General features: G+C 56.0%; 1 annotated feature.

The window, feature by feature from the left end:
* Positions 18364-18929: an enhancer, noted in NCBI's record as "H3K27ac-H3K4me1 hESC enhancer chr22:49548111-49548668 (GRCh37/hg19 assembly coordinates)". NCBI's record gives its function as "activates a minimal SCP1, AML or CMV promoter by ChIP-STARR-seq in primed H9 embryonic stem cells {active_cell/tissue: H9 hESC(primed)}" and the evidence as "EXISTENCE:reporter gene assay evidence [ECO:0000049][PMID:30033119]".

Genomic DNA, 19243 nt, shown 5'->3' with positions numbered 1-19243 from the left:
AGTGAACGAGGCTAACTGTGGAGGCCTGCACACCTCATAGGATATGCAGAGGTGGATGGAACTCATCTAGGGGTTTAGAAGCCATTGTGATGTTGCCCCCAGGGGGCTGAGGTGACTGGAGCCAGCAGGACGGAGGTTCTGAGAGCTGGTGATTTTCCATTTGCTCCTGCAAGTGCTGCTGACTCAACTGTCTGCAGTTCGTGAAAATCCAGAGTTCCACGTTTGTGAGATGTGCATTCTCCTGAATGTGGACTATTCTTTAATAAGTTTTCTTTTATCCATGCGTTTTTTTGCTTAAATTTGATCCAAAATATCTCCTTGGCTTCTTGATGCAGGAGACGGGACTCAACTCCAGAGGCAGGGCTCCGACAAGGGACTGTATTGAGGATTAGCTAAAACAGGGCTGGGGTGGAAGCAGTTTTCCATAGCATACACCCACCAGCGTGCCCTGTCAATCTACCATTGCCATGGCAACAGCCAGGCGTTACTGCCCCTTTCTATGGCAATGACTCAATGACCCGAAATGTACTACCCCTTCCCTAGAAATTTCTGCCTAAACCACTCCTTAATCTGCATGTAATTAAAAGTGTGTAGAAATATGACTGGAGAACCACCCTGAGCCGCTCCTCTCAGCTCAGCACACTGCCTGTGGGGTGGCCCTGCTGGACAGGAGCAGCCATGGACCTGTGACACTGTGGCTTTCATAAAGCTCTTCTATTCTACCCAACCACCAGCTTGCCCTTGAATTCTTTCCTGGGCAAATACAAGAACCCTAGAGGGCTATCCCCCGTTTGGCAGCTCTCTGACTTACGGGCAAGCCAGAACTGACCACAGTATCCAGTGTCCTCGGTGGATGTGCTGTGTCTATGTCCTCAGTGGAGTAATCATGCAGGCCTCTCCCTCACTGACCCAGGCTCTGGCTGTAGCATGGGCTTTGCCTGCAGGATGTTAGCACAAGTGGGTCAGGCAGAGGTTTGGATCATGCACCCCAACTCCTTTACTGCCCTACACAGTGGGGTTTGCTCACTGCACCCATCTGTCTCATTATGAGAACACGCCGGGGCTGGCCCAATGGAGGGATACACATGGGAGACACAAGGAGGCGATCAAGGCCATCCTAAGGCAGTAGTGACCAGCTCACCCCAAACATATAAGAGAACCCAGTCAAGGTGAGCAGAGCTGTCTACAGACTCAGGAATCAACCCATTTGAGACCAGAACTGCTTAGCTGAGTTTTAGACTTGAGAGCAGTAATAGACAGGTTACTGACCAGCCACTGAGATTGGGGATGGTTGCTACATAGCATCATCCTGGCAATATCTTACTGATATGCAATTGTAATGTCCTTATTGCTTCTGCAGATGTGAAGTGCTGGCTGTCCCTGAGATGAGAGTGCAGGCTACAGTGCTCCTCCTGGCTCCCACTCGTGTGGCTGGGGGCTGAGGGTTGCCTTCCTGTGCAGGTGAAAGAGCTGTGACATTTTCCTCTAAGCTTGTTCGGAAAGCATCATACAGAGGGAGGAAGCCAGCCTGCAAAGCCACAGCTCATCTCAGGCCTGACAGAGCCACTCTTGGTAGTGGATCCCTGTCTCCGGGGGTCACAGATATGCCTGCAGAGGCACCCGGAGTGGAGACGGATTTTCTTAGCATGGACATGAGAAACTCTGGGCAGGCAACAAGTCCTAGTGGCGCTGGGAATCCTTGATTGCAAAGCCTCGTGGCCGGGGCCAGCCTGGTGCAGGATGGATGGGCAGTGAGTAAGGTCACCCCTCAGACGACCTTATGCGTGCAGAGGACCGCACTCCTGTGATATTTCTTAGACAAGACAAGCCCTCGGGGGCCAGATCACCCTGGCAGCTGGCCCTCTGGTGTGGCCAAGTACTCTTGATTTAAAACTCACCCATCCCTGGGCCTGGAGACAGGATCCAGCCCTCCCATTGAAGATTGGCCTCTGCCCATTTCTCACCACCCTCCCTTCTTCCAAGGATCCACTGTGCTCAAGAAGAAGCGAGCTCCACCGCCCAGCGGCCTCTGGTTCTGCTTTCCCCAAGGTGAAAGGTGTGCTAATGTGAGTCAGAGCCTGGGATACAGGCTGGGCCACGTGGGTGGAGGGTATTCCTGTGCCGCCTTAGTCTGCACTGGCTGACATGACAAAATACCACAGACTGGATGGATTAAACAGCACTGATTTACTTTTTCACCGTCTAGGAGGCTAGAAGTACAGGATGGCGGCATGGGTTCGGTTGGTCCCTGGCGAGGCCTCTCCCTGCCTAGCAGACGGCCACCTCCTTGCTGTGTTTTCATGGATCCTTTCTCTGTGCACCTGCACCCCAGAGCCTCTTCTTCTTCTAAGGACACCAGTCCAATTGGCTTAGGGCCCCATCCTAAAGACCTCATTAATCTTAATTATGGCCCTATCTCCAAATACTGTCTCATTGGGGTTGGGCTTTAACATATGAATTCGGTCCACAGTGATGCTTTTAAAGGAAACCCTGTGCTGTTTTATTTTCTGTGATTATTCTTGACAATTCACTTCCACATCTGTTTACTCTGTTTCCTTAGGATCAACACTTAAAGGTGACTCTTTGTGGCAAGGCAGGAATTCGGGATGGGGCTGGCGGTGAGTGGACTCGGAGCCCTTGGACACCGGCTGTTCTTGCCTCCACGCCCGTGGTTCAGAGTACACGGGTGGATCTCCATGCCATGGTTCAGAGACACGGGTGGATCTCCATGCCGTGGTTCAGAGCATGCGGGTGGATCTCCACGCCATGGTTCAGAGACACGGGTGGATCTCCACGCCATGGTTCAGAGTACACGGGCGGATCTCCATGCTGTGGTTCAGAGACATGGGTGGATCTCCACGCTGCGGTTCAGAGACACGGGTGGATCTCCACGCTGCGGTTCAGAGACAGGGGTGGATCTCCACGCTGCGGTTCAGAGACGGGTGGATCTCCACGCTGCGGTTCAGAGACGGGTGGATCTCCACGCTGCGGTTCAGAGACACGGGTGGATCTCCACGCCGTGGTTCAGAGCACGCAGGCGGATCTCCACGCAGTGGTTCAGAGACACAGGTGGATCTCCACGCCATGGTTCAGAGACACGGGCGGATCTCCATGCCGTGGTTCAGAGCACGCGGGCAGATCCCACACCTGCTTCGTGTAGCTCGGTTTGTCTTCTCCAGTCCATCTTCTGCTCACTGGGGTAGCAGTGGGATTTCTCAGCCCACTTGGCTCTTGCTCCTTAGCAGGGCAGTGAGGGGTGGTGTGTGGGAAGAGGCAGGCCCAACACAGGTGGCACCCAGGTTCTCGCCTGGAGCATGATCACACCCTTCATTCCATTCCAGAGCCCGAGTCCCACACCCAGACATACAGGTGCCCAGCCCCAAGAAGATATTCAGAATGTGTAGGGCTGTGTGTTAGTCTGTTCTGGCACTGCTATAAGGAAACACCTGAGGCTGGGTAATTTATAAAGAAAAGAGGTTTAATTAGCTCATGGTTCTGCAGGCTGTACAGGAAGCATGGATGGCCATGATTGCCTTGGCCAAGGCCTTCCTGCCCCCATTACCTCTCCACACCCCGTCCCTGCCCCCATTACCCCTCCACACCCCCTCTGCACTCCCGTTACCCCTCCACACCCCCTCCCCGCCCCCGTTACCTCGCCAAGCTCCTGTCTCTGCACCTGGATGGTGCCTTCACGGTCTTTGTACAGATAGACCCCACCTGCAGTGCACTCTCCATGCAGTTCTGAAAAGTGTCCGAGACACAGGAGTCCAGGCAGCACCTGCTGAAAGGCCCAGAGGGTGTGAAAGGTGGGAGGGGGTCTAGGGCCAGAGGAACCAGCCTGGGCTAGGCCCAGCTGTGCTGAGATGCACCAAGCTTGGAGGCTCATGGAAGGCATCAGTGGTGCTGCTGTTGTCACCCTGGGACACAAACCTAGGAGAGTAGAGGGATGTCGTTTTGTTCATTGACCTATGTCCAGGGCCCAGATGCCCACACACAGCCAGTGATTAATAGGCCTTTGGGGGAAGAGGAAGGAAAGAGGAGGGAAGGAAGGAAGGAAGAAAGGAAAGAAGGAAGGAAGGAAGGAAGGGAGGAAGGGAGGGAGGGAGGGAGGGAGGAAGAAAGGGGTGGAGGGAGGGAAGAAGGAAGAGAGGGAGGAAGGAAGGGAAGGAGGGAAGGAGGGAGGGAGGGAGGGAGGGAGGCTGTCCTCTAAGGGGCTCCCCACAAACACAAGCATGGCCCTCCCACATCGAAGGCCATGTGAGGGCTGCACCGTTGCTGGAGTCAGCCCAGTATCGTCACCCTCACCTCTTTCCGGCACGCACGGGGAGTTTTGGTGGCGAACAGCAAAGCAGCAGGTCGTGGGGGGAGCAGGAAGGGGCTCCCCTCGGCTGAGGTTGGCTGGGATTCTTAGGCCAAGCGCATGCTCACCCATCCTGAGGGTCACCAGCAGCTTGGAAGGATGAGCTTCAATTTTCTCATGGAGATGTGCAGCACGATGGAGCTAGAGGCACTGCCTTCATGCCTTCCTATCAACTAATTTTGCAGGTTTCTGAAATGTTCCAAGAAGACAACATTCAGATGGTTTTAAACTGTGCACAGTATCGATGCTGTGACCGGCTGTGCTCCACTGTAAGATGTGGAAAGGGCTGCCAAGTGAGCAGATATAACTTCCCAGATAAGCCACCCAAAGTGTTTCTGAGAACTGCTCGCTGTGTTGAAAAACAACTTCGGGAAAGAAACTTCATCTGCCGAAGTCGACGTGCCTCGTCCTTGGACAATTTGTGAAGTTCAGTGATTCTCAGGGCTGATTTTGTAGGGACTGTCCATCCTGGAACCGTGGAGGATCTTCTGTGGAGGCTCGGTGGGCGGTGCTGGCTCGGCTCACCTGCGGCACGTCCTGTGTACTTTCACCCTGACAGGTGTCCTGTGATCAGCCTGAGGCTGGGAGGGACGCAGGGCTGTGCTGTCTCATCATTTGCTCCTGGACAACTCTTTTTGTTCTTTTAATCCAAAGCAAACTTTGAAAGACTTAGCAATGAGAAGTACAAATATTTACTCATAGTCCCCACATATTTATTATATATATATACGATTTATATATATTCATGTACATATATATATATATATATACATATATATATATATACACACATATATATATATATACACATATATATATATATACATATATATATATATATATATACACATATATATATATAGAGAGAGAGGTGTGTATCCATCATCTGTCTACCATCGAGGTATCTGTGTATCTCAGCCTGGATCTATCATCATCTCTATACAGAGAGAGGCACCTATCCATCATCTGTCTATCATCGAGGTGTCTGTCTATCTGTGCCTAGATCTATCATCTCTATACAGAGAGAGGCACCTATCCATCGTGTCTATCATCCAGGTATCTGTGTATCTGTGCCTAGATCTATCATCATCTCTCTTCGTATCCATCCTCCCATCAACAGCACAGGGCACTTTACCATGGCTGGTAGGCTCAGAAGGACATCCTGGCCTAACACTTCAGGGAGGACGCAGGGGCCTGGACATCATAGCCAGGGCGTGAGGATGGACACTGCAACACGGAGGGTCTGGCTGTGAAGTTTGGACTTTCTTCCCAAGGGGTCAGCAGCTGCCATGGAAGTTTCTTGAGCAGATGAAGGTTTTAAGAATGACCAGTGCGATGCCGACTGCAAAGGTTTTGCTGCGGTGGGGAAGAGCCGCTCACAGGAGCTCCTGCCTGCCGGCCAGCGGAGCTACAGGTAGGGCCTTCCTTGGGCTCCCCTTCGCAGGCACAGGGGCGCTCGCCAGGGGCCTTTTCCTGGGTTGACCAGAAATCCCTGTGTGTTCCCTGCCCGCTGAAGAATGATGTCCCATTCTCCCCTCTCTGCATCACTCTCCCTGGCCCCTGAACTACTGGATTGACAAGGAAAGTGCCCTGCAGTCTCCTCCCAGGAGCACCGGCTTCCATCCCAGGCTGTGTGGCGGTGGGGATGGGAGTAGGGGAGGCACAGTCTCTGTCCTGGGACAGCAGCCACCCTCACTGCGGTTGTTGGCCTGATCACTGCAAGCCCAAGACGGTGACTGGCACACACCTGGCTGCAGGTGGCCCTGGAAACAAATTGCAGACGGGTTCAGCCTGGTCCTGGGTGGGCTCCCAAAGCCTGGGCAGTGAGGGCAGAGCCGGGGGCCGAGCTGGAGTCCGTCTGGTGGGGTGTAGGGGTGGCAGGCAGGGGATTTGGCTGGCGGGGTTGGGAGGGGGATCCAGACAGAGAGGAAATGGAATTTGCAAAGTCCCGAGGGCATTTCTCAGGTGCAATAGTTGACGTTGGAGTGAGGTCCGAGCAGAGCCTGCAGCTGGGGCATCTGGGGAGAGGGGTCGGGTCTTGGACTGGGGGAGGGCTGTGGGTGGGGGCTGTGGGTGGGGCTGTGGGTGGGGCTGTAGGTGGGGGCCGTGGGTGGGGCTGTGGGTGGGGGCTGTGGGTGGGGCTGTAAGTGGGGCTGTGGGTGGGGCTGTGGGTGGGGCTGTAGGTGGGGGCCGTGGGTGGGGCTGTGGGTGGGGGCTGTGGGTGGGGCTGTAAGTGGGGCTGTGGGGTGGACAGAGGAGCAGGAGTTTGGGATTTTTGAGAATAGAACACAAACCTACAGGACTTGCTGATTAGGGAGGAAAGGGGAGCTGTTGAGGTGGAAATGACCAAGCCGTTAGCTGAAAGCCACAGTGCAGTGGGCACCCTGGCCGGCACCCCGTCCACCTGTTGGGGGCTGAAGCCTCCACCACACAGGAGACAGACAGGAGGTGTCGGAAACGGAGCCAGACAACTGTGTGGGGACTGGGGTGCCTCAGCCTGCACGTCCCCAGGGCTCCCAGCGGCCCGGGGTGCCTCAGCCTGCACGTCTCCAGGGCTCCCAGCGGCCTGGGGTGCCTCAGCCTGCACGTCTCCAGGGCTCCCAGCAGCCTGGGAGCCTCGTAGCCACGTTCTTCGCCTCCACTGTGCCTTTCTCTGCTACACCCTGACCAGGTCTTCCACTTCGGCTTCCCCTCACTGTCTTCCGGAAGCTTCCAAGCTTCTGATCACAAGTCTCTGGTGCCATCTTTCCTGCCCGAGGGGAGATGGCAGGTGGTACTTACTGGGGTCCCACAGCCGCCCGGTCACTCGGCCCATTGCGTCAAAGCAAGAAGGTCCCAAGTATCCTCGCTGGTCACAGAGTGGACCCCGTGGCCAAGAGGCAAGAGGGGTGTGCACCACGGGACACAGGGGTCTGGTGATCACACGTGGCCCTGGACATGCACCTGCCCTTCCTGCCCTTCCCCTGGGCTGTCCTGGGCTCTGAACCCATCAGGACAGCCTGGACTCAGATGCCCCCTTGTAATATCTGCATTCGAAATCCACATGACCATGCTGTGGACCTGAAGTGCGCTCCACGGGGCGTCACAGGGAGGCAACGGCCCCCGTGCTGGGGGCTTTATGCATCACCGGGATCCCTCAAGCCCATCTCCTGGTACAGCGACCTTGTGGACAAACCCACCTGCTGCCAGCAGCCCCCAGACAAGAACCCAAGAACTCCAGTGCCCAGGTGTGAGGAGGCCTTTGTCCAGCCACAGGCCTGGGAAACATGAAGCTCCTTCCTGCCTCCTCTCCCCATGATCTTCCCCTTGGCGGGTGCTAGGATGGGGTGGTTTTCATGATGAAGCTTCAGGCCCCAGATCCAGGTTTTGGGGGGAGCTCAGTGAGGCAACAGAGGCCAGTCGGCATTTCGTCTCCTAAATGATGCCCGCCTTGAATGATGGCGGCTCCCAGCCAGCCGTCTGCCCCGATCCCGCCTGCTGCTCATTGGGGCTCATTTCCGGTGTAGGCAGCAGCTCCAAGCCTGCATCCAGCAGCAGAGGGAGCGTCCAGCAGGCAGAGGGGAGCGCGGGGCAATTACTGTAACTACTGTAGCATGTTATCCTATTAACAGGGAGCACAAAAGTTTCTGAGCTTTTGCTTCCAAAATGTCATGTCAGACAAGACCTGGATTTACTCCCAAAATTTTTAATCTTCCGAGCAGAGAAGGCTGGTGCCTGCTAATAGGATGGGTGCAGCAGTAGCCCATTGGTGGCCATGGCGTGGCTCCGCTGCCTTCTCCTAGCACCAGCTCCAAAGAGCCGGCAGCTCCTGGGATGGTGTCAAAACCGAACCTCATCTCAGGGCCTGGATGTTCACACTCAGCTCGGAAGCTCAGATTTTGCAAGGCCACTGCTTATTTAGCAAAATTAGGCCAATGGATTTACAGCCCTGGATGGCGTGCAACTGAATGCGGACTCCCCGTAGCTCTGCTCTAGGATGGTACGCCCGCCCCATGCTCCTGCCACCACGAGCCTCCGCCGGGGAAGCCCGCCTGCAGTCGCCCTTCCTGCTGCCTGCCCTGGGCTGCACCTGCCCAGGTGTGCACTCATCTCTCAGCCAACTAATTAACACTTGCTCAGAAGCCCTGGGAAATAGCACAGGGCACATGCCAGTGCGTTTCTTTCCATCCGTTTTCCCAGACGTCGCATATTTATAGAGTTGTGATGATCTCCTTACAGAATCTACAGATTGTATCTTCCAGCCAAAGTGTAATGTAATTTGGATGCAGGTGAACTGCTGGGAGTTCGAGGGTCACGCAGTCCCTTGCTGCACAAGGCCTCGCATGACACGAGGCCATCCCCTTTGCTCATAAGTGACGTTTCAATAAACACGTCTGTGCATACACCTTTTAAATGAAAGTCTTATTTTAGGATGGTTTGGGATGCATAGGCGTGGTTGTGAAGGTAGTATAGAGTTTCCATCTCCCCACACCCAGTTTTCCCTGTTATTAACATCTTGCATTAGTGGTACACATTGGATATAGTTAATTAACCAATATTCATACGAAAGTTCAACTATATTGATCAAGAGAAATTCATACTATTTTCGGGGCTTTTTTTTTTTTTTTTTTTTTTGACAGAGTCTTGCTCTGTTACCCAGGCTGGAGTGCAGTGGTGTGATCTCAGCTCACTGCAACCTCTGCCTCCTGGATTCAAGCAATTCTCCTGCCTCAGCCTCCCGAGTAGCTGGGACTATAGGTGCCCGCCACCTCGCCCAGCTAATTTTTGTATTTTTGGTAAAGACAGGTTTTCACCATGTTGGCCAGGCTGGTCTGGAATTCCTGGCCTCAATTGATCCACCTGCCTCCGTCTCCCAAAGTGTTGGTATTACAGGCGGGAGCCACCGTGCCCGGCCTTTTTGGCACCTTCAGTGCCTCCCAGATGTCATTTTCTTTCCTGCCCCAGGATCCCGCCAAGGTTCCCACATGGCATTTGGCTGGGACAGTTTCTCAGGGTTTCCTTGTTTTTGATGACCTGGACGCTGGGCAGTGTAGCGGCGTGCTGGCCAGGGGTTGAGTAGGTTGTCCCTATATTAAAACTAGTGCGATGGTTTTCTCATGAGTAGCCTGGGGTTAGGTATTCTCAGCAGCAGGACATCAGAGGTGAGGCTGTTCTCACCACACTGTGCGAGGGCCCAGACCATCCGCAGGGCCCAGCACAATGGGCTTGACCCTCGTCGCCTGGCTCAGGTGTGTCCCTCAGGTGTCTCCTCTGCAGAGTCACTTTCCCTCCCCCTCCCACACGGTGCTCTTTGGAAAGGTTGGGGACCATCCCCAGCTCCCGAGGAGGCCATACGCTTACCCTGCACCTGGAATTGTGCACCGATGCTCCCTGATTCTCGGAACACCCCCTTGGGCTGCATCACAAGCCTTGGCATGACCCGGCCAGAGGATGCGCTTCGAGTTCAGGGCTCCAAGGTCCATGGCGCTCCCCTGAAGGAAAACTGGGGGGTACAAGGAACGCATGAGAGGGGGCCTCTGCCTCAGGGGAGGTGGGAGGTAGAAATAGGCAGGGAGCAAAACACAGCATGCAAAACCGTGTTCAACACCGGAAAGATCTGAAAGTGAAGAAGGACAGAAGGTGGGTGAGTCCGTCAGTGACTGGGGGCCACAGGTGTTGCAGGGGGTGGTGCAGGAAGACCCCTCCGAAGAGGGGAGGCCATGCAGGGAGAGGGCAGGATCCATCAGGAGCAGCCCATGGTCGGGGCAGAGGGAGCCGGAGGGGCCGGGGCTCTGAGCTGGGATGTCAGGGCCAGCAGGGAAGGTCTCTGGGCCGACAAGAGCTGGGCCCTGGGCTTTGGAAGCTCAAGTGTGGGTTCCCGAGGTTTTATTCTATGCCCTGTGCACGATCCCAGGTCCCTGTTTCTACAATTTGGGGGACTTGAGGGCAGATCACAGTGTCCTTATCACCTTATCATGCTTCCTGGAGGGTCCAAGTCTCAGAGAATGCAAGCCTGGACACATTGGTGGTCTGGGGAATGTCTTGGGGCCCGGTGGGGATGCAATATCCTGTCCATGGGCACCGTCCTGTGGCCCTCAGTCCTGTAAGTCAGCTGGGCTGGACCTGGCAAGGCAGCCCCTCCACCCGCAGCCTTTGGGCGTTCCAAGCCACACAAGCAGAAAAAGGCGGAGGCTCAGGTCACCTGCCACAGGGTCACACCTGGAGCGGGGGGGCAGGTCACCTGCCACAGGGTCAAGCCTGGAGAGAGGGGGGCTCAGGTCACCTGCCACAGGGTCATGTCTGGAGAGAGGGGGCGCTCAGGTCGCCTGCCACAGAGCCACGCCTGGCGGGGGGAGGCAGGTCACCTGCCACAGGGTCACACCTGGAGCGGGGGGGCAGGTCACCTGCCACAGGGTCACACCTGGAGAGAGGGGGGCTCAGGTCACCTGCTACAGGGTCACGCCTGGAGTTGGGGGTGCTCAGGTCACCTGCCACACGGCCACGCCTGGAGAGACGGGGTGTGTGGGTGGCTGCCTTGATGGGTGTCAGGGGAGGGGTGGGTCTGTGGTGCCACACACTTGGCCCCTGGCCCATTCTCTGGCCCCTGGCACCTGGTGCAGCCTCTGCCTGCGGGGAGCTACTCCAAGGTCCTCGTGCCCAGAGAGCGAGCGTAAAGCCAGAAAGTGATGGAAAGATTACATCATGGCTAAAATAAAACCAGCGGGGAAAGAAACAAGGTTTCTTTTTTTCATTTTTTTTTTAAATAAAAAGGTCAAAGAATATAGATGAAACAAGCTAATTGAATTAGGCTGCAGACTGAACTAATACAGAGAAATTATTCAACGTACATATCTGATGAGACCTCTGCTCTGGCATGTCAGGGGCCCTGGCAGCCCCACCCTCCAGCCCTTTCCCCCACGTGGCCCATGAATTACACACAGAACACGGGGCTGTGCTCTATTATTCAGAAGCCTTTTCGTCTCTTGGAGAAATACAGCCTCATGCCTCTGAACCCTGGCATGGCCGACCCGCCCTGGCTCAGATCGCATTTGAAATTCCTGACAAGCCCAAAGGTCCACCTGTGAAAGGGACGCAGGGGTCATCCCCATGGTCTCCACAAACAGGGGCAGGTGTCCTTTGATGGTGAAGCAGGAAGGATGGGGAGGTGGATCCTAAGTTGAGAGGTGAAACGTCTGAGCTGCAGTCACACCTGCGCACCTGCCAGCCACAGAGCCCCAGGTGAATGCAGGTGAGGGCATGGTTAGTGAGTGTTCTGCAGGGGCAGAAGAAGGACCTTTCTCAGACTGCTCCGGGATGCCCACCTTCCCAGGACACTGTTGAGGTGGAAGTCCCTGCCTAAGGGAATGCTGGCGAGCCCTGGACCTTCCTAGATAAGCCTGGGCTCAGGGGTCCCACAGTCCTGGCTTCGGCTCCCAGTTCCATCCCGCCCTGATGGACAATCTGGTGAGAACACACAGGCAGTGTGACCCCAGGCTCCTCGTCTGTGGAGGGGGCAACCTCTTCAGCCAGATGACTAAGGCACTTTATTGAGACAGTGACCAAATGGAGCAACGAGGGGAGCAGGTGCCAGCTCCATTTCCCCAGTTGCTAACCAGCCACACAGCCCGCCCCATGCCTTGGCCCCCTAGAGCCTCTGCTCCCCCACATGGTGATTGTGGAAAGACTGACATACATCTGCTGGGCCCCAGGCTGGGGCAGACCCACAGGCACCCCTGAGATCCTGAGCTGCTCCCCGTCTGGGCCCCGGGCCGGGGCAGACCCACAGATGCCCCCGAGATCCTGAGCTGGTCCCCGTCTGTCAGGAAGCCACAATCACCAGCCTTGCATGCTGGAGCTGCTGCCCTGGTGAACAAGTCTGTTGCCAGCACCTCCTCCTGGGCCTTCCGGCCTGGGAGCCTCATGCAGGAGACTCAGGCGTCAGGGGAGGAAGGAAGGGCAGCACGAGGTCTCTGCTGCCTCAGGCTGGGGTTGCAGTGGGGAGGTTCCATGAGACCCATTTCCCAATGACAATGACGGCTCCAGCGCTCCAAGTCCCGGCTCAGCCACACCACAGGGTGCCAGCAGATGACAAGGTGCCAGCAGGTGACAGGCACCAGCCTTGCAGTGACCTTTCAGGACAGCCGATTCTTCCCGAGCCTCAGATACAGAAACTGAGGCTCTGTAGACCTTGGCAGCCAACCCCGTCTCATGGCACTAGGTGAGGAGTCCAGGGTGGGAGCCGAGATGCCCCTTGACTTATGAGGGGGCATGCCTGAAGGAGCCCTTGTGAGTGGAAAATGTCATAAACTGAAAATGCTGTGGGCACACAGAACCCGCCAGGTGTCATAGCTTAGCCATCCCTGCCTTAAACATGCTCCAAACACTTACGTCAGCCTACGGTTGGGCAAAATCATCTAATACAAAGCCCGTTTTATACTGAAGTGTGGACTATCTCATGTAATTCATGGAATACTGTACAGAAAGCAAAAGTTAGAATTTCTGTCCTCAAAGCACAGTTTCAACTGAATGTGTATCATGTCCACACCATGGAAAAGTTGGAAAGTTCCATGTGAAGCCATCGTCAATCAGGGACCGTCTGTATTATGTGGCCCCAGAGCCTGCGCCTTCTACCACCCGATGGCTTGGTGGAACCCCCTCATAGGTGGAGAGGATGGATTTTGATTCTGGGGTATTCCAAAGAAAAGGGACACATCTCTCTCAGAAACCGGCAGGTGATTGACCTCCCGAAAGGTGCCAGGCATTTGCTGTGGCCCCTGCCACGCAGCACCAGCTCCTCACAGAGCGGCCGCAGATGGGAGCCATGGCCACACACAGACACGGCAGCTGGGAGCTTCTCAGGCCCCAGACTCAGCACAAGCACAGCAGCATTCCCTATTTTCCATTTCATCTCTTGCCATTCATGCCAGCATCAGAATACACGGGAAACAAGGTGGACGTGGCCTTTGCCCTCAAGAACTCACAGTCCAGTGAAAACCAACCACCTTCCATGTTAAACCGGCTGCTCTCTGTTAAACCGGCTGCTCTCTCTCCACCATCCAGACAAGAGGCACCGACACTCACCGTTCTCCCACACCTGGTGCCCACACGTCACCTTGGCTCTGTTCCTTCTGCCCTTCCTGCATCCTGCATCTGCAAGCTCCCTATGTCCATCCCTCCTCCGTGCCCAGGGCCACCGTCCTGGCCCAAGCTGCCATCTCCTCTGCTGTGGGCTTCTGCTGTTGCCTCTTCAGGGCTCACCTCAGCTTCCAGAGTCGTGAGGTCTGGGAGAAGCTGGAGACCCACAACACACCCGGCCACAGCCCTGGGGTGGCTGTCCACAGCCTGCAGAAGCCTGGCCCTCGGAAGGCAGCAGGTGAATGAGTGAATAAATGGATGGGCAGATTTACTAATGACAAAATTAACAAAGGCTAATTAAGGGGAAATTAATGAAGGCTAATTAAAGAGACATTAATGAAGGCCCACCTTTCCCATATGGACTTTTTAGTATCCTGTTATATCTTCCCCATAACCAAAGTTAAATGTGTTTTTCAAAACATTCTCTCCAATGTTCTTGTCTAAAAAAATAATACTCAATGAAAATCTCTCAATGAGCAGAGTCTTTTTCATTGCTTTCCCTGGACTTTTTGATTCTGCAAAGAATCACGTGCCTTAGGCGGTGCACGTAGCCTGCTGAGCCTCTAACACTGAAGGGCTAGGACCGGGACACCCGACCGTCTCCACAGCTGGAAGAAGGATTCCAAGCCAGTGCCCACTTCCAAGTGCGCCTGGGCGGATGCTGTGGAGCTGCCAAGGTTTGGGCTACTGAAGCTCTAAAGGCAGGTTGTAGGACAAGAAGCACTTGAGGGCAGGGCACAGTGCAGGAGAGAAGGGGGGCTGCCCCCACTGCCTGATAGAGGGGTGGGGCTGGCCCTCATCTATCCGTCCATCTGTCCTGCACTCCGCTCTTCCTCGGAGCAGGGAGGCAGACTCAGCTCACTATCTTCCGCTCCTTTATTTGAAAGCCACCAATAATACACACGGGAGTATTAGGTTGGAGCCAAAACAGGTACCCAGGCTTGGACGAGAGCCAGACTGCTTATGAGCAACAGCTGGGAGCCAAGCGCTTGTATTTACACAGCTAAGGCCACAGTCCCTGCAACGGATGAGGAGGGAGCCGTGTGTTGAATCACAGAGAAAATTAGTTGTTTATGGTCATTTACGTTGGGAATTATTCTTATAAAATCTGCCCTTGTTTCATTTGGCTCTGATTACATGTTGATGAGATTGTGGACAACTTCGTCAAGGTGCACCAACATGAAGCCCTTTGTTGGAAAGGGCTCAGAAGAGAGATGGAAATGATTAATGGTTGGCGAACACAAGAATCTTAGGGTAAGGACTGGGGCCTGCTTACCATGGAGCCGACAGGATGGAGAGATAAATTAATGTCCTCAATTATAAAGGGGCTTGAGATATGGAAAACTGCTGTCGACAGGCCTCCCTCTGGAGGAGGAGGACGAGGGGTCGGAGCTGCACAAAGTCATCGACTGCCCCAAGGGCCTCCTGGAGAGAGGAGAGGAGGGGAGCTGTCTCGGATCTGGGGCAGGGGCATTGGAATGAACGCCCACCCCTCTGAGTTGAGGCTGCTGAGGGTTCAGGAGGCACAGCCACCCATCAGAAAGGGGTGTCAGCATCCTCTGGTCTCTCCCTGGTGGAGCTGCTGTTGGATCCTCTGGCAGAACACTAGGGCCTAAGCAGTTTGGACAGAATGCCCCAGGAAGTGGGGAGGGGCTAAGAAAATCATGTGTGCAGAGTGGGAGGGGCTGTGGATATCACGTATGCAGAGGAAATTGTGTGTGCACTGTGGGAGGGGTTGTATAAATTGTGTGTGCAGAGCGGGAGGGGCTCTGGAAATCGCGTGTGCAGAGCGGGAGGGGCTGTGGAAATTGCGTGTGCAGAGCGGGAGGGGTTGTATAAATCGTGTGTGCAGAGCGGGAGGGGTTGTATAAATTGTGTGTGCAGAGCGGGAGGGGTTGTATAAATCGTGTGTGCAGAACGGGAGGGGCTGCGGAAATTGTGTGTGCAGAGCGGGAGGGGTTGTATAAATCGTGTGTGCAGAGCGGGAGGGGCTGTGGAAATCTTGCATGCAGAGCTGTGAGGAACTCTGGAAATCTTGTATGCAGAGCCCCACTTCAGTGTCTGGGGTTAGAAGGGGAGCCGGTGGGTGCTGGAAGGAACAGCGCCTGGACTGCCTGAGAACGTCTGGGCCTTGTCCGGGCACCTTGGTGATTTTCCATTACCTCCCTCATTCCCTTTCATCTTCACTTGGGGTTTGAGGAACCGCAATTAGCAGATGGTTTGAGGTCTATTAGCCAGTGCCTCCCCTCACCCCCTCCAATGCCACTGGAATCAGAGATTGGATTTCTTAATGAGAGAAGAATTAAGTAATAGGCTTGAGCAGGGCCGCAGGCAGCCGTGTGAAGCCATGTGCAAAATTGATATTTCAACAAGCCTGATAACGTATTAGGGCAATGGCCCTGCTGTGTCGCAGAGCCACATGATGAATCTTCCTCCAGGTGCCTGCAGGTGCCTGTCACGGGGTCGGCGGGCACTCACGAGGCCCCTGGCCACCCAGGAACCTGTCAGTCCCTTCTCAAAGTGTGCGGGAAACAGCAGGTCCCCAAACTGTGCGGAGGAGGGTGGGAGGCGCTGAGTGGACCCACAGGGGCTAGTGGCAGGGACAAGGCATTTGCCTGTCCCCGAGGGGACTTGGGGGTGGGGGCTCCAGGGTTTGTGGGCTTGGGTTCCACCCTGTCCCAGGAGCTCTGCAGACGGTGGCCTCAGAATTCCAGGCCTGCGACGCGTCCGCTATGGGCTCCGGACCACGAGGTCGTCCGTAGCCGTCTCCCACTTTGATTTGTAACATCAAACTGAAGTTCAGGGGCCCCAGACAAGATGCTGGGTGACAATTTTATGAAGATCAATGTTATTAAGGACTGAATTCTTGTCCGAAATAATTTGTATAAAATATAGTCACATTAGATGAGAGACTGTGCTGAATTATCAGCTAATGGGGTGTGGAATTGTGAAAACCCCTGGCTTTTGTCGCAGAATAATTGAACACGACGTCTTCTATATTGGACTGTGAGGCTCCTGAGCACAGGAAGGGGCTCCGGCTGGGACGGTGCCTCCGGGGCAGTTCTCTTTGCCCCCCACCATGGTCAACGTGTCCTCAAAGGAGCAGGGAGAACCCCTGAAGCCTGGGCCGCCCCCCACCGCTGCCAAGACCCCTCCCCGCCAGGCCTGCACGCCCCAACCCATCCCGGTGAGCTGCCCATGGCGTGTGGGGCCCCGCATGCTCTCCCCTGGAAGTCCTTGTCCTGCGTTTCGTACCCCATGTGTTCTTCCCGGGATGTCCTTCTTGTCCTGGAAAACCAGCAGGTACCATGAGTCTCTTCAGTCCTGAACCGCCACCAGCTCCTCTCCTGCACCTGAGACCCCGCCTCCCCCCAGAGCAAAGTCTCCTGAGGACGTGAGACCACCCAAGAAGGGGGTGTCCTGGCCCCACTGCCCTAAAGCAGGTTCTGAAAGGAAAAAAGAGAAGGGAACGTGTGGATGCAGCATGTCTCCTCTCCCCTTGGCGCTTTCCCGGGGAGCCCCCACCCAGGAAGGACCCCACCCTCTTCACCCTCCCCAGGCCCCCTGGGGAGCCCCCACCCAGGAAGGACCCCCACCCTCCCCAGGCCCTGGCCTTACTGGGTCTCCGGGGCCCTGAGGTCTCCCCTGCAGCGGGGAGGAGGCTGGCCAAGAAGGACCCCCGCAAGGCTGATACTCAGGGGCACCCACCTCCCTGCCCCTTGCTTAGGGTCCCCGCAGTGACTGCTAAGTCGGGGAAGGAAGCCCCCACTGGTGTCTCCAGCTCTGGGAGTCTGTGTCCTCATGACATACTTTGGCCGTGCACAGGGCGCCGAGCCCTGGGGATGGCACTGACTAAAGACCTGCGGGTAGCCCCTCCTCCCACCTTACCCACACCCTGCAAAGCTTTTCCTAGAGTCTCATTGAGCCCCAAAATGAAAAGCAAAACAAACCAGAACCCTTGCCCAGGGTTCTTTTATTACTTGCACTTCAGAGGTGAGGATGGGAGACGGTGAAGGGTTTGAGCCCACAATTGTTCGTGTGTTCCGTGGGCAGGAGCATTGTGAGCAGGTGGTCCCAGCAAGCACCTGTGGGCCCCAGACCATTGCAATTGATCCCTTGGCCTGCACCAGTGGAAGGAGGTTGCCGGGAGGGTCCAGTGAGGGGGTCTCCGCTGCTCCCCACCACTAAGTCACCACTGTCTTCTCTCTTGGGCACTGGACAGCCTCATGGCTCGCTGTCCCTGCAGCCCTGGCCTGGGGTTCTTGGCAGGGACCCCGCTAAGCATCGCATCAGTGCAGGTGTGTGCGGGGAACCTGATGGGAGCAGCCCGCAGGTCTTCTGGGCACCGGGAGCTTCCTGGTCTTACAGGTCCCGGGGCAGCTCTGTGATGACGATGGCAGGGGCTCAGGAGGGGACACCAAAGTCCACACCTGTGCCAGGCTGCAAGCGTCACATCTGCTCCACTCCCAGACCCAACTCCTGTACTCAGCCCTTAGCCCAGCCCAGGGGGAGCCTGGAATGGGAGGAGAGGCTTCCCCGGGCCCACTGGCTGGTAAGACTGTCACTCCTCGGCCCCCAACAAGTTAGAGAACTGCAGCAGAGGTAAAGTGTCCACACCGCCTGCCGGCTCTTATGCGGTGCAGCCCACCCACACATAGGGTTCTGCTCCCCGTCCAGCCTGAACCCCACCTGGAGCTCCAGGTGCTGGGAAAAGCACCCGCTCAGGGAGTGGTGGGGAGTGGCCAAGACAGGGGTGGGGGCACCAGCTTCTGGGAGGTATGAGCACAAGGCGGGGTCCTGGGGCCCTGAGGCAGCCTGCAGCTTGATCTTTGACACTGTCCTCTCCTGGTCCTTGGAACCCTAGGGGCCCCCATCCCCCCAGCCAGTGGGCCTCGGGGAGGAAAACTCACTTAGCACAGCTACTGGGTGGCAGGTGCATCTTTGCACCCTAAGATACAGAAGCAAAGCCATAGTGAGGCAAGGCCCTGGGAGGGGGTGACAGGGAGGGGAGAGGTCTCCTAAAGGGGAGAATTGGGAGGAGTTCCTCTGGGAGCTGCAGCCAGATGGCAAGATCCACATACATAAAGAGGAGATAACCCCTCTGAAGCCCTGAGAGGGCCTGTGGGGGAGGGAGGAGGGGGTGGCAGGCACACAGAGCCCTCCTCCCTGCGGGCACAGCGGCGGGGGTGCACACCTGGAGACTGGTGGAGTGCCGGGCCATGCGCAGGGGCTGGCTTTCCCCTTAGAGGACCGGCAGGGGGTTTGGGGGGCTTTCTGGGCTGAGTCCACTCCACTCCCAACCACCAGCCTCGGCCCGGTCAGGGGGTCTTCCTGCCTCCCCCCTGGCAGAGACCTCTCTTCAGGGAGCAGAAGATGTCCCAGTGCAGCAGGCCTGCTGCTGAGAGGGGCTGGCCTGGGGGCTGCAGAGACCCCGCCCCCAAGACAGGCTTCTTCTTCTTTCTTCCTGGGGCAGATCAAAGGTCAGCCTGGGGCAGAGCAGCCACCACAGAGAGCCTTCAGGAAGCAGCACAGGCCAGGTGGCTGAAAACAGATCCCTCCTCTCACAGTTCACAGGGAGAAACCTGAGATCAAGGCAAGGACCGGCTGTGCCCCCGGGGACTGCAGGGCCCTTCCCAATGCTGGTGGCTCCTGGTGCTCCGTGGCCTGTGGCTGCCTCCCTCCAAGCTATCTCTGTCTTCCAACAGCGGACATCTCCCCTCAGTGTGCTCATGTCCCTGCTGAGTGCCTGTCTCCCCACTGTGTGCCCGT

This window comes from Homo sapiens, chromosome 22, assembly GCF_000001405.40.
Source record: "Homo sapiens chromosome 22, GRCh38.p14 Primary Assembly".
Classification (NCBI taxonomy): domain Eukaryota; kingdom Metazoa; phylum Chordata; class Mammalia; order Primates; family Hominidae; genus Homo; species Homo sapiens.
This window is presented reverse-complemented; position numbering and strand designations above follow the sequence as displayed.